This window comes from Homo sapiens, chromosome 4, assembly GCF_000001405.40.
Source record: "Homo sapiens chromosome 4, GRCh38.p14 Primary Assembly".
NCBI lineage: Eukaryota > Metazoa > Chordata > Mammalia > Primates > Hominidae > Homo > Homo sapiens.
In genome coordinates this window covers 6,752,481-6,767,639 of record NC_000004.12, presented here as the reverse complement: position 1 = coordinate 6,767,639, position 15,159 = coordinate 6,752,481, and the positions used below count along the sequence as shown (strand labels likewise).

Here is a 15,159-nt window from a genome sequence, read left to right as displayed (position 1 = left end):
TTTTATGTATCAACTTGGCCAGGCTCCAGTCACATTTATTCAATCAAACGCTAACCCAGGTGTTGCTGTGACGGTGTTTTGTAGCTGTGGTTGACATCTACCATCAGTTGACTTTAAGAGAAGGGATTCCCCTTGGTGTGGGTGAGCCTCGGCCGGGCAGTTGAAGGCCTTCAGAGCAAAACTGAGGTTTCTCTGAAAAAGAAAAGAATTCTGCCAATCATGCAGCATCAGCCTCTGCCCTGGAGTTTCCAGCTTGTAGGCCCCCCACCTGCAGATTTCAGACTTGCCGAGTCAGACCTCACAATTGTGTGAGCCAATTCTTTGAAATTAGTCTGTTTTCAGGCCGGGCGCGGTGGCTCACGCCTGTAATCCCAGCACTTTGGAAGGCCGAGGCGGGCGGATCACAAGGTCAGGAGATCGAGACCATCCTGGCTAACACGGTGAAACCCCCTCTCCACTAAAAATACAAAAAATTAGCCGGGCTTGGTGGTGGGCGCCTGTGGTCCCAGCTACTTGGGAGGCTGAGGCAGAAGAATGGCATGAACCCGGGAGGCGGAGCTTGCAGTGAGCCGAGATGGCGCCACTGCACTCAAGCCTGGGCGACAGAGCAAGACTCCGTCTCAAAAAAAAAAAAAAAAAAAATTAGGTGGGCATGGTGAGGTGTGTTTGTCGTCCTAGCTACTCGGGAGGCTGAGAGGTGGGAGGATCACTTGAGCCCAGGAGGGGCAGGCTGTAGTGAGCCATGAATGTGCCACTGCCCTCCAGCCTAGGTGACAGAGTGAGACCCTCCTCAAGAAAAAGAAAAGACTAACCAGGCCTTAGCTAGGTGAAGGGGAAGGCAGCTGGCAGAGAGAACATCATGTGGAGATGCCCTAAGGTGAGAAGGAGCCCTGTTGTTTTGCCACCAGCTCACTTGTCTGAGTTTCTCATCCAATCAGGGGCTCATGGAGGGGAACCTGTGTCTTGTTCATCCTTGTCTGCTGTGCCCAGCACCCAACTGGGGGCTCATATATCTTGGGGGGACATATATCTTGCTCATCTCTCTGTCTGCTATGTCCAGCACCTGGCTGGGGGCTTGTGGAGGGGACACATGTCTTGCTCATCTCTGTGTCTGCTGTGCCCAGCACAGTCACCCTGTGACCTCGGGCTCATCACGGGTGAGTTTTCTTATCTGAAAAGCAGAGAGAGTGGGAGCAGGTAAGGAAGGGAAGGTAGTTCTGGAAGGTCAAGGTAGGGAGTGCAGATTCTTTTCTAAGTTCAGGAGGAAGCTACAAGGCAAAGACAGGAGTGGATTACCATTCTACAACATCAGGCTGCTGGGAACGAGGGTGGAAGCCAGGAGAGCAGATAAGGTGCAGGTGCAGTGTTCTAGGTGGGAGGGGAGGGTGGCCTGGGCCAGACTGCCAGTGACAGGAAGGAACAGAAGTGGGTGAATTGGAGGCACAACTGTTGGGGTTTGCAGATGAGAAAGAGGGCAATGGATGATGACACCCATGTTTCTGGTCTAAGAAACTAAAGCATAGTGGCACATTGACAGACGAGGATGTTGGAGGATAAGTGTCAGAGGATAACTCCGAATGGGATGTGAAAGGCTAAATGCATTTCTGCTTGGGTCTACCAGACATCCTTGGGCTACTGATCACTGGACTAGGATCAGGAACAACTAACCTATCTCTTTGCTCTTCCTTACCTAATTTCTGGCCTCTATGAGGAGATTACCTCATAGCCCAAAATAACTGCTGGAGCACCAACCATAATATCTTCATTCCAGGTGGAATGCAGGAGGAAGAAGAAATGGGTAAAAAAAGCTTTCATCAGCTGTGTCCTCTTTTGATTGAGCTTTCCACAAGGCACCCTCATCAATTTCTCCCATGTCTCATTGATTAGAACAGTCACATGCCATATCTGGCTGCAAGGGAGACTGGGAGATATAGTCTTTGGCCAGACACATTTCTGGCCAGAATAAAATCAAGGTTTCACTGGAAGGGAAGGAGGGAGAAACAGATAGTGGGGAGGCAACAATCTCTGGTGCACTGTCTCTTATTGTTCTCTTAGTTCTCCACTTAACCGTCTCCCATACCCCTCTGTGTTGTACACAACAAAATTCAGACTCCTTGATATGACCTTCAAGCCCTTCGCTCTCTGACTGCTACTGCCCCAGCCGACATCCCCCAGGCTTCTCTCTCCTTTGTCCTTGTATTTAGCCCCAGACATGATTCCCCCTGGGTGAAAGCCACGTAGGGTCACTCCAGGTCTCCTGTGCCAAGGTGTTCAGAAGGAATAGTTACTGCGGTGCTTTCTAGAGCTGTGCGTGATCCTGGGAATTACTAGTGACATTTAAAAAGCGGTTTTGTTCATTGCTGTGCAGTTGCCACCACCATCCCTGCAAGGGCCTCCTCCTGCAGAATGAGGCAGCTCCGAGACATTGGGGTGGATGGTGGTAAGCCATGATCCCTTGCAGGAGGAGCTGCTGGCTGCACGGTCCCAGGTGAGAGACGGAAGTTAGTACAAGTTGGTGGCAGACAGTTCTAGGAAGCAAACGAAAAGGAATGTTTTGAGGTGTTTTGTTTTGTTTTGTTTTTATTTATTTTGAGACAGCATCTCACTGTGTCACCCAGGCTGGGTATGGTGTTGCAGTCATGGCTCACTGCAGCCTCCACCTCCTGGGCTCAAGCAATTCCCCCACCTCAGCCTCCTAAGTAACTGGAACCACAGGTGCCTGCCACCATGTCCAACTAATTTTTTGATTTTTTTTTTTTTTTTGTAGAAATGGGGTCTCACTTTGTTGCTCAGGCTGCTCTTGAACTCTTGGGCTCAAGTGATCCTCTAGCCTCAGCCTCCCAAAATGCTGGGATTACAGGTGTTAGCCACCACACCTGGCTAAAAAGGCATGTTTTGAAGATTGATATAGCCAAGGCAGGCAACAGGAATGGGGAGGTCAGTCACAGGCAGAGATCCCTGGGAAGCCACCTGGGGCTTTTCTTGGCCGTCATCAGGTCCTCATCCCTGTTTTGTGGGTGAGGATGATGCAGTCCAGAAAGGAACAGAGGGAGGGGACTGACGACCAAGTACCCCTGTCTACCAGACACTGTGGGCAGAAACTTCTAGGCCCATGGAGCTCTAGGAGGTCAGGCGATTATTCCATTTTATGAATGGAGAAACTGAGGCTCAGAAAAATTAAACCTGTGTGAGGCCACGAGGCTGACTCCTTTATTTTTTTTTCCAGCACTTCATTTCATATTATCTTATTGCCTCTTGCTTTCGTCCACGTGTCCTTCCTTTCTCTTTCCCCACTCCCCACCATCTCTCTCTCTCTCTTTCTTTTTAGGTACAATTACATGGTGTAAAATGCAGTTGCATCAAATGCGTTCACTCTTGCTACCAACCACTCCAGTCAAGACATAGAAATTCCCACGCCCAGAATGCTCCCTCACACCCCTTCGCAGCCGACCCCTCCAAAGGGCAACTCCTGTTCAGATTCCTAACACCATAGATTTGTTTTCGGCCGTTTCTGGGTTGTTGTTGTTGTTGTTGTGTTTGTTTGTTTTGAGACAGAGTCTCACTCTGTTGCCCCCAAAGTGCTGGGATTACAGGTGTGAGCCAGTGTGCCTGGCCTGTTTCTGAACATATGTGTGGATTCAGGCTGGCTCTTTTTTTATTTTTTATTTCTTGGCTTTAATTACAAAATGGGTGGGGAATAGAGGCGCATAGAGGCGGTGGGCTAGGTGGGTCTCCCTGCTGTGGGATAGCATTTCTGTGCTGTGTGTCCTGTCCTCATCGTACCCTCACTCACCAGCCCTGCCTCCTTCCTCTGTGCAGTTCACTGACCCACTTTCTCTCTGCAAAGCCTTCCCTGGCCCACAGGCTGTGCACTTCCTCCCCTGGAACTTTCCTTCATAGCCTTCGGCAAGATCGTGATGAACTCACCGGTCATGCGGTTATGTCTTCAACACCTGCGTCCCCCACCGGAGGCCAGCTCCCAGGGCGCGTTCTAGTGTGTGGCGTTCGCTTCATATTCCCAGGCGTCGCTTGCCCCAGCACGCCTGTGTGCTCAGTAACAATGTGTTAAGCACAGGATTTTGGGAGAAGTGTATATGGACGTCTGAAGAAGGGTTGTGCTTGTGGAAGAGAGGAAAAGGGGGTGTGGTAAGGGGTGTGAGCCAAGGGACACACAGGAACAAGGAGTGGCCACATGCAGCTGGCCTGGGAGGGGCAAGGGCTGATACCCAGGTTGAGGAGATGGAGATGGCTCATGGTGCCAGCCACTCGCTCTGCCTGCATGCGCCCTCTCTATCCTGTGTAGGCATCTTGGGAGGAAGGGACCTCCATCATCTCCTCTTTGAGTAAACCTAGAGAGGTGTTTCAGTCTGTTCAGGCTATTAACAAAAGACTACAGACTCAGACAACAGAAGTTGATTTCTCAGAATTCTGGATGCTGGAAGTCCAAAATCAAGGCGCTGGCAGTTTTGGTGTCTACTGAGGACCTGCGTCCTGGTTCACAGAGGTGCCTTCTTACTGGGTCCTCCTCATCCAGGAGAAGGAGCCAGGGAGCTCTTTGGTGTCTGTTTTTTTTTTCCTTTTTCTTTTTCTTTTTTTTTTTTTTGAGACAGAGTCTCGCTCTGTCGCCCAGGCTGGAGTGCAGTGGCGCGATCCCAGCTCACTGTGACCTCTGCTTCCCCGGTTCAAGCAGTTCTCCTGCCTCAGCCTCCCGAGTAGCTGGGGCTACAGGCACCCACCACCAAACGTGGCTAATTTTTGTATTTTTTAGTAGAGACGGGGTTTCACCATTTTGGCCAGGATGGTCTCCATCTCTTGACCTTGTGATTCGCCCACCTCAGCGTCCCAAAGTGCTGGGATTACAGATGTGGGCCACCGCGCCCGGCCTGGTGTCTGTTTTATGAGGGCACCAATCCCATTCACAGGGGTCCCCTCTCACGAGCAAATCGCCTCCCAAAGGCCCCACCCCCTAACACCATCATCTTGGGAGTTAGGATTCCAACATAAGAATTTTGGGGGACACAGACATTCAGACCACAGCAAGAGGTGAGGTAGCTTCCCCCCACCCACACAAGGCGAGCTTCCTTGGTATTTTTCAGTTGAAGCAGTCACAAGCCCGCCTGGTCAAGAGGCAGGGACCCAGAACCCACACCTCATGGCGATAAGTACGGAAGATTTCAGGGCCATGCTTTAAAACCACTGTAGCACATCAGAGCAATGAAAAAATAGCTAACATTCATTCAGTGCTTACTCAGAGCCAGGTGCTGTGGATAACTTGATGCAGAAGATACATTTATAGTTAACATGTACATAAATGAACGTAAAAGCGAGACCATGCACATCAATGTTTCAGGAGCTGTGCCTGTTCCACTAGACAGACTGGTCACAGGCCATCACAGTTTGGGAGCCCACTTCACCCCTGCACCCACCCTCCCCGTGCCTGGCCCAGCCCCCAAAGCTGGCCGGCTGCTGGCCACTTCCACCCGCATCAGGCCTCCGGGCTGCTCCATTCCAGATGTGCCTTGAGGGCTGCGCAGCTCCTCCTGCCCGCCTCCTCCTGCCCACCTCCTCGCTGCCCGCCTCCTCCTGCCCGCCTCCTCGCTGCCCGCCTCCTCCTGCCCGCCTCCTCGCTGCCCGCCTCCTCGCTGCCCGCCTCCTCCCTGGCTGCCAGGCGGAGGCCCCCAGCTCAGCTGCAGGAAGCCTGTGAAGGCAGTCAGTGCGTTTCTGCAGCAAGAAATGGGGCCAGTGCGGAAATGTGAGCGTCAGCCCACCCTCAGCGCCCTAAGGTGGGAGACAAGGGGCATACGATGATGGTCCGGGCTGCATGGTGACAGTGGATAACCACTGCCCTGGGGGACAGAGCCGCCTTTGTCCTCCGCCTGCCGGCCCTGGTGACACGGTGTTCCTTCAGTGGCGGGAGGCCAGGGCTGCAGGCTAGAGGGAAACGGTTTCCCTGTTCTGTTGGGGGTGGGTGGCTGAAAGAATGGGAGAGCAGGATGTTAAGGGCCACATGGAGGTTACTTTACAAGATCCCTGTCCACAGACAGTTGAGAAACGAGATAGAGCCGTTACCATCTGGGACAAGAAGGGATGTTGATGAGGAAGACACCTGGGGACATTGGGCATCCTTCAGTCCAGCCCTCTCCTTTTTCAGATGGGGAAGCTGAAGTCAGGAGACAAAAAGGATTTTTCTGAGGTCACACACATGAGCCCAGGCTGCCACGGGTTGGTCTGGCCTGCACCCAGGACCCTGCGTTGTTGTGAACTGCCTTCCATGTTACAAGCCCACCAGTTTGAAGCCCAAAACAGAAAGTTATAGGGTCAGGGGAGTGTGGCTGTGAACACTGACCCTGGAGTACCCTTTCTGGATTAGCACTGTAGGCACTTATTTAATTCTAACAACCACTGTACAATGGACAGATGTGCTCTTGCTCCGTCCTACAGAGGCAGAGAGAGGGTAGCTGGGCCCACTCACATGCACTGTGAGTGTGGCCGGTGTGCAATGTGAGGTGAGGGTCGGGGCCGGCAGAAGAGGGACTGGAGGGCCACGGTGCATGAGACAGCACCATGCTTCGAATGCCCAGCCTGGGTGGAGCCATGGAAGGCTTTGAGCAGAGGAGACTGAAGCTCAGGCTTGGGAAAGGCCCCTTGGCGTCTGGGAGGGGTAGGAAGTGGGAGGAACAAGGCAGGATCCATGAACCTACTAGGAGGCAGGTGCCACGGCCCAGGAGGGCTGTGATGAGGGTCTCAGCTAGGACTGTGTCTATGGCCGTAGAGAGAAGGGACTGACCCCTGGATGACCAGAAGGCGGATATGGTAGCATTTGGTGATTGCTTGACCATGGCGCCTTGATTAAGGGATAGCTTCTAGATTTCTAGTGGAAGGTGGTGCCATCACTGAGAGAGGAGCCCAGGAGGTGGAGCAGGATGGGACCAGCCGGGCTGTGTGTGAGGTGCCCGGAGACATCCCAGGGGAAACCACCCGAGGCTCTGGGCATAGCAGAAAGATCTAGGCCAGCGGGAGAGGACTAGGAGGCCTCAGCCATCTCTGCTCCTTTCCAGCTGAGGACATTTTCAGGTGAGGTCTGCTTTCCTTGGGCAAGTGGCACACTGGTCCCTCCAGTTCTAAGAGTGCCCCCAAGGCAGCAGCCTTCATGGGGCAATGTGTCTTCTGGGGGTCTGCACAGACTTTCCAAGTGGCACATGGGCATGGAGAGTTTAAGGAACTTGATTTCCAGCTCTCCCAGTTGAGTGACACGTCAGTGTTTTCTCCCCAGCTCCACTTCCATACCCTGCTTCTCTTACCATACAGGAGGAAGGCCCCCGGATCAGAACCCAGGCCATGGGGATTGGCAGAGCTCATTTAATCCAGGCACAGAGATGGGACTTCCTGTCTTTTTTATTCCTATTAGTAGCCGACCTGGTGTTGGAAACAGGGATTTGGCCTCCTGTTGGAATGTTCTGAATTCAGGTCTATTGTAGAGCAGGGCAGGAGTGAGGACTTTTTGTTTTGTTTTTTTTGTTTTGCCTTGAATGAACACAATTCTTTTGCCTTATGTTTTCAGAGCAAGAGTCTTGTGGGATTGAGTGAAGAGCTCATTGGCAGAAAGACCAAAGGCTTCTCCACCTGTCCACACACCCATCATTCATCTAGAGCTCAGAAGTGGGGTGATGGTCACGGAGATGGATATTGCCCCCTTAATTTGAACTGAAAGATGAAGACACGCTTTCCTCTTGGGGAAAGCATGTCTGATTGGCTTATTGGACCAACAATGAGGACTGGCTTTGCCAACTGCTTGTACAGTGGATATTTCCCATGAATCAGATGAATTAAGTCTATAGCTGCAACATTTTGTCAAAAATATGGCCGGGCGCGGTGGCTCACGCCTGTAATTCCAACACTTTGCGATGCCGAGGCAGAGAGATCACCTGAAGTCAGGAGTTCAAGACCAGCCTGGCCAACATGGCAAAACCCCGTCTCTACTAAAAAAAAAAAAAAATACAAAAATTAGCCTAGCATGGTGGCATGTGTCTGTAAATCCCAGCTACTCAGGAGGCTGAGGCAGAAGAATTGCTTGAACCTGGGAGGTGGAGGTTGCAGTGAGCCAAGATCATGCCATCACTCCAGCCTGGGTGACAGAGCAAGACTCCATCTCAAAAAAAAAAAAAAAAAAAAAAAAAAAATATATATATATATATATATATATATGAATCATATTACAAGAGCCTTTAACAATAGTTTGGGGGGAAAGTATATTGAAATTAAAAACATTAAATTTTTCCAATTCTTTCTGCAAATGTCTGGTTAAACAAGGTGCCTTTATTTAAGTGAAAGAGTGACAGGTATAATCACCAGCTCCTGGGTGACTCTTGGAAAACTCTTTTTGGTGCACTGTTATGCTGGACCCCTGTTGACTTCAATAGGGATGGCACCATGTTCCAGAGACTGGAGAATGAGACATGGGGTTTATTGAGGGGACTTACATACAGGGTGGTCCAGCGGTAGTTGGCTGGGCAAGAGAACCACAGTTGCTTGTAAAAAGGTTGCAGTTTATGTAGCCTTTTCCCTTGGCACCCTACCTCCCCCCGGCAACCTCCACCTGGCAACCTTCATCTAACCCAAAACAAGGAGATCAGGCTGTGATCTCCTGCACAGCCTGAGTTCCATGGGATGAGCTGGGGGCTCAGATGTTCCTCAGATAAGGAATGAATCTCCGGGCTGGCCACTCCCAGATTCCTTAGCTTGGAACTAGGAACACACATTCTTCTCAGATCCTGGGGTCATTCTCAGGGGTGTGCTTATGTCACGCTCTTGCTGTCAGGTGTGTCTGCCATATATGCACTTGCCCAGAAACTGAGAAAGTGAAGGACTCTAGAGACTGAGTAACAAATCCCTGCATAAACCAGGCGTTTCCAACACATTGAAGAAAATCCTAACCAAGTTGTCCACTGACTGATCAAAAAAACAATCCAGATCAAACCTGTCCAGCCCACGACTTGCGGGCTATATGCAATCCAGGATGGCTTTGAATGCAGCCCAAACACAAATTTGTAAACTTTCTTAACTTTCTTAAAATATTATGAGTTTTTTGTGATTTTTTTAAGCTCACCAGCTATTGTTAATATTAGTGTATTTTATGAGTGGCCCAAGACAATTCTTCTTCCAATGTGGCCCAGGGAAGTCAAAAGATTGGACTCCCTGATTTAGATGATGGAGCATCGTTATGTGACTTTTTTGGCCATGTATCTTTTAAGACATTCAGAGAATTAAGTGACATTTCTTTTTTATTTCTTTTTCTTTTTTTTTTTTCGATATGAAGTCTTACTCTGTCACCCAGGCTGGGAGTGCAGTGGCGTGATCTCAGCTCACTGCAACCTTCTCCTCCCGGGTTCAAGTGATTCTTGTGCCTCAGCCACCCGAGTAGCTGGAATTACAGGCATGTACCATGATTCCTGGGGAAGTTTTGTATTTTTAGTAGAGACGGGGGTTTCGCCATATTGCCCAGGCTGGTCTTGAACTCTTGACCTCAAGTGATCCACCCACCTTGTGCTGGGATTACAGCCATGCTGGGATTACAGGCATTAGTGCTGGGATTACAGGCATGCTGGGATTATAGGCATGCTGGGATTACAGGTGTGAGCCACTGTGCCTGGCCTTAAGTGACATTTCTATAACAAATATTCTTCCCTTTCCATCCACTTCTTTATATGAATAAATTTTCTACATGTTTTGTATCTATAAATACAAAAAAGAATAAAACCTACCCTAAACCATGTCTCATTCTAGCTATAAGAAATATTAATCTGCAGATGTCATGAACTACTTCAGAAAACAAGGCCTATTTGTGTAATTAACACATTTCTAATAACAATCTACTTTTATGTTCAATAATTACTTATCAAATACATAACATAATGTAGATATTTTTTTTGAGATGGAGTTTCGCTCTTGTTGCCCAGGCTGGAGTGCAATGGTGTGATCTCGGCTCACTGCAACCTCTGCCTCCCAGGCCCAAGCAATTCTCCTGCCTCAGCCTCTTGAGCAGCTGGGACTACAGGCGTGCACCACCATGCCTGGCTAATTTTTTTTTTTTTTTTTTTTTTTTTTTTGGAGACGGAGTTTTGCTCCTGTTGCCCAGGCTGGAGTGCAATGGGCTCTCTTGGCTCACCACAACCTCTGCCTCCCAGGTTCGAGCGATTCTCCTACCTCAGCCTCCCAAGTAGAAGGGATTACAGGCATGCTCCACCATGCCCGGCTAATTTTTTATTTTTAGTGAGACGGAATTTCTCCATGTTGGTCAGGCTGGTCTCAAACTCCCGACCTGAAGTGATCCTCCCTCAGCCTCCCAAAGTGCTGGGATTACAGGCTTGAGCCACTACACCAGGCTAATTTTTTGTATTTTATTAGAAACAATGGGATTTCACCATGTTGCCAAGGTGGTCTCGATCTCCTGAGCTCAGGCGATCCATCCGCCTCAGCCTCCCAAAGTGCTGGGATTACAGGCGTGAGCCACCGCACTTGGCCACAATTTTGTTTTAAAATGTCAACATTTACAATACATTAGAGCTGGGCATGGTTGCTCATGCTTGTAATCCCAGCACTTTGGGAAACTGAGGAGGGAGGATTGCTGGAGGCCAGGAGTTCAAGACCAGCCTGGGCAACAAAGCAAGCCCCCATCTCTAGAAAAATACATGTATTTTTAATTAGCCGTGTGCAGTGGTGTGCACCTGTAGTCCCAGCTACTCAGGAGGCTAAAGTGGGAGAATTTGCTTGAGCCCACGAGTTTGAGGTTGTAGCGAGCTATGATGGTAGCATTGCACTAAAGCCTGGGTGACACAGCAAGTCCTTGTCTTAAAAAAAAATTAGAAATAGCATATTTGCAGCTGTGTAAGTATAGGGAAAAAATGTGGAGAGTCAACGTATAAATATACAAGGGAGTACATAATGGGACTCCTCCTCCCAATTTTTTTTTTTAATTTATTTTTTTATTGATAATTCTTGGGTGTTTCTCACAGAGGGGGATTTGGCAGGGTCACGGGACAATAGTGGAGGGAAGGTCAGCAGATAAACAAGTGAACAAAGGTCTCTGGTTTTCCTAGGCAGAGGACCCTGCGGCCTTCCGCAGTGTTTGTGTCCCTGGGTACTTGAGATTAGGGAGTGGTGATGACTCTTAACGAGCATGCTGCCTTCAAGCATCTGTTTAACAAAGCACATCTTGCACCGCCCTTAATCCATTCAACCCTGAGTGGACACAGCACATGTTTCAGAGAGCACAGGGTTGGGGGTAAGGTCACAGATCAACAAGATCCCAAGGCAGAAGAATTTTTCTTAGTGCAGAACAAAATGAAAAGTCTCCCATGTCTACTTCTTTCTACACAGACATGGCAACCATCCGATTTCTCAATCTTTTCCCCACCTTTCCCCCCTTTCTATTCCACAAAACCGCCATTGTCATCATGGCCCGTTCTCAATGAGCTGTTGGGTACACCTCCCAGACGGGGTGGTGGCCGGGCAGAGGGGCTCCTCACTTCCCAGTAGGGGCGGCCGGGCAGAGGCGCCCCTCACCTCCCGGACGGGGCGGCTGGCCGGGCGGGGGGCTGACCCCCCCACCTCCCTCCCGGATGGGGCGGCTGGCCAGGCGGGGGGCTGACCCCCCCCACCTCCCTCCCGGACGGGGCGGCTGGCCGGGCAGGGGGGCTCCTCACTTCCCAGTAGGGGCAGCCGGGCAGAGGCGCCCCTCACCTCCCGGACGGGGCGGCTGGCCGGGCGGGGGGCTGACCCCCCCACCTCCCTCCCGGACGGGGCGGCTGGCCCCAATTTTTTATTATTTAAATTTTTTTAGACATGTTCTTGCTGGAGTGAGGCTGGAGTGCAGTGGTGCGATTGTAGCTCACTGCAGCCCTGAACTCCTCAACTCCACCAATCCTCACACCTCAGCCTCCTGAGTAGCTGGGACTGCAGGCATGTGCCGCCTGGCTAATTTTTAAATTTTTATAGAGATAAGATCTCGCTATGTTGCCCTGGCTGATCCCGAACTGCTGGCCTCAAGCAATCCACCATGCCTAGCCACCGAAAATGTTTAAGGCTTATATGAGTCCAGAAAGTTTGAAGATCATGATTCCAAGGATACCTCTTCAAAAGCAAACCAGAGCAGGAGGAGGTAGTTTTCCCAGTCTCTGTAATTTAGGAGTGTAATTTGTACTTGTTTGTTTGAAGGCACGTGGAAATGATGTTTGCTGTTGGTTGAAGGTCTGCCCAGAAGACATCCCCTAGGTCCAGTTTAGAGGTCAAGGTCAGCCCTCTCTGGGCAGGCCAGGCTCTCTGGCAGCACTGACCATGTGCAGGCAGCAGGCCAAAGGGCCAGAGCCAGGTCAGCTGCTGCCCCCAGGGTGGGTGGAGCTCACAGAGGCCCCAGCTCTTCTAAGGTAGGGTTGGAGCCTCTTCCTGCAATGGAAGGTTGGGGGACAGGGTGATGAGACACTGATGCTTCCAAGGGGTATATGGACACATGTTGGGAGTGTCACCAATAAAGGCCATACACACCCCAAAAATCTGCCTCTGCAATGGCACACCAACAGCCACTAATGGTAGTTATTATTGTGTGCTTACCTTGTGCCAGGCAGTAGCCTTAAGTGCCTTCTGTATACTGCACTATGTTATTTAATCTTCCAATGATTAGAAACCCAGGCAGCCTGACTCAAAGGAGGTGAGGCTGGGTGCCATTTTCCTCTTCCATTAATTGAAAGGGTCATAATAACAAACATTCCTTATTTCAGAGTTTAATGTTATTTTAAACTATTAATTCAGACTTATGAATTAGGAATGATTAGAAACCCAGGCAGCCTGACTCAAAGCCGTGTCATGTGGGACACTGGTGTCAACACAGACATTCTAGACTCTGAAGGGTCAATGTGAGACCTTGCTCTTCAAAGCATTACATCTCTCTGATCCTCGGTTTTCCCATCTGCAAAATGGGTTCATAAGAGCTGTCTTACCAGACCTTTGGGTTCTAAAGCCTTCCAGGCAGCGGCAGCTGCTCTTCACCTGAGAGGGACTTTGCCATCATCAGAAAAGTTTGTACCTGATTTAGGAGGCTGAAATCTTAATTTTAAAGTGTCAGGTAAGGAAATAGGGAGAACAAACCACTCTTTTTTGGTGGCCTCTCTAGTTGGCTCTGTTTGGACCACCCTCTGGCATTTTCCACACCTTGGGCATCCCCAGCTCCCACTTGGAGCCTGAACAACTATTTCTCCCAAACTCCAAATGCCATAGCACCTGCAGGATGCCTGAGGCCGTCTGGACAATTCTCAGGCTGCCCCTATTAGACATCTCTGGTAAGTGGATGGGAGCTGGCCTAGAGAAGTCAGGGTATGTTTGAGTTGGAGCCCAGAGACCAGGGTCTCACCCTGCAAAACCATTTACTTTGTGATCCCGGTCAGCTGGCTTAGCCTCTGGGAGCCTCGTTCCTTCACTCATCCGTGCCCACCAGTGCCACTCATCAGGGCTGGGCGCTACGGACTCAGGGACGAGTCAGACAGGCCCATCCCTCCCAGCCTGCTAGTTTCATAGGAGAGGCAGACAAGGAAACAGAGTGATGGGTAGGGTGATCCCTTCTGCCTGGGAGAAGCCGGGTGCCTGGGCTATCAGGAGGACTTCTTGGAGGATGTGAGGCTGGGTGCCATTTTCCTCTTCCGTTAATTGAAAGGGTCATAATAATGAACATTTTTTATTTCCGAGTTTAATGTTATTTTAAACTATTACTATAAAAGTAACACATGCTCATGGTGAAAACTTTCAAGAGAACAGAAAGGTATTGAGTGAAAAATCTCATTCCTTGCCCATCCCCAGAAGGAACTAATTGCTGTTCACAGTTTCTCATGAAGTCTTCTAGAAATGTTCCCTGTGTATGGAAACATACATGGAACAAACATCAAAAGCCCAAATAAATAATAATAGCTCCCACTTGAGTGTCTGCTAGGGGCCCCCTCACCCATTGCGCTTGCTTTTCCGTGTAATGATAGACCTTGGACATATTTCTAGGTCCACAATCAACTTTCCAAGGTACCGCAAGAGAAACCCGGAACATCTTAGGGGCAAGTGAACGAACAGTTCCTTTCCTGGTGCCTTCATCTGAATAGGCCTAGCTCTGAGCCGGCCCCGCAGGTCCATCCTCCCATCGAAACCTCCCTGTGGTTGGGCCATTGTCGCATCTGTTTTCAGATGGGGAATCTGGGGCTCAGAAAGCACAGCAGGGTTCTGAGGCTGCACGGTGACCAAAGGCAGGTCCGTGCCGTGGCGGACCCCACAGGGCTCTGGAGCCAGAAGGAGGCCACGCTGTCCTCGGAGTCCTGGTTTCCGGAAGCGAGCAGGATTAAATATAACCCAGGCAGGCAGGAGGCGGGTGTTGAAAGCACAGGCTTAACCAAAAAGTGCAGGCCAAAGGGCAGCCCCGCCCTCCACCCCGCTGGGCTCTGGGGACAACTGCACTGACCAGTCTCGTGGGATTCTGGCCGGGCAGCTGGCATTCCCACCCACCCAGGTCCCCCCGCAGGGCGAGGCCCAGTCCCCCAGTGTGTCATCCATGTACAGGTTGCCACCTCTGACCTGGCGACTCCACTCTGGAAATCGGGGTCATGGTGATGGGCAGAAACACTACAAACAAAGGGCTCTGCCAGGTGGTCTCCGGTCTGCCCAGAAGGAGAACCATCACTGGCTGTGTGGCCCGAGCTTGGGCAAGTCCCTCACCCTTTCTTCCTTTTTCATTTTTTAAATTTTAATCGAGGTTAAACTCAAGATTAGTCATTTTAAAGTGAGCAATTCGGTGGCGTTTAGTACATTCACAACGCTGTGCGACCACCATCTCTAATTCCGAAGGAGACCCCGTTACCTATTAAGCAGTCTGTCCCCACACCCTCCTTCCCCCATTCCCTGGCAACCACTAATCTATTTCTGTTTCTGTGGACTTCCTTATTCTGGACATTTCATAGAAAAGGAAGCATACAACATGTGGTCTTCTCTGATTGGCTTTTTTCACTTAGCATAATGTTTTCAGGGCTCCTCTGTTTTGTAGCACATGTCAGTATTCCATTCCTTTTTAAGTTTTTTGAGACAGGGTCATGCTCTGTTGCCAGCCTGGAGTGCACTGGTGAAATCTTGGCTCAT

The 15,159-nt window shown here is 50.2% G+C and overlaps 1 long non-coding RNA gene across 1 annotated transcript, besides 1 other annotated feature; it reads right to left on the bottom strand.

The window, feature by feature from the left end:
- On the bottom strand, nt 1-4,132 carry LOC105374367 (uncharacterized). Its single transcript, XR_925101.3, has 2 exons — nt 3,928-4,132; nt 1-192 (listed from the first exon to the last, which is right to left on the bottom strand). It is a non-coding gene; the product is annotated as an uncharacterized LOC105374367 (long non-coding RNA).
- Nucleotides 3,464-3,979: an enhancer, noted in NCBI's record as "H3K4me1 hESC enhancer chr4:6765388-6765903 (GRCh37/hg19 assembly coordinates)". NCBI's record gives its function as "activates a minimal SCP1, AML or CMV promoter by ChIP-STARR-seq in primed H9 embryonic stem cells {active_cell/tissue: H9 hESC(primed)}" and the evidence as "EXISTENCE:reporter gene assay evidence [ECO:0000049][PMID:30033119]".
- Nucleotides 4,133-15,159: the final 11,027 nt, after the last annotated feature.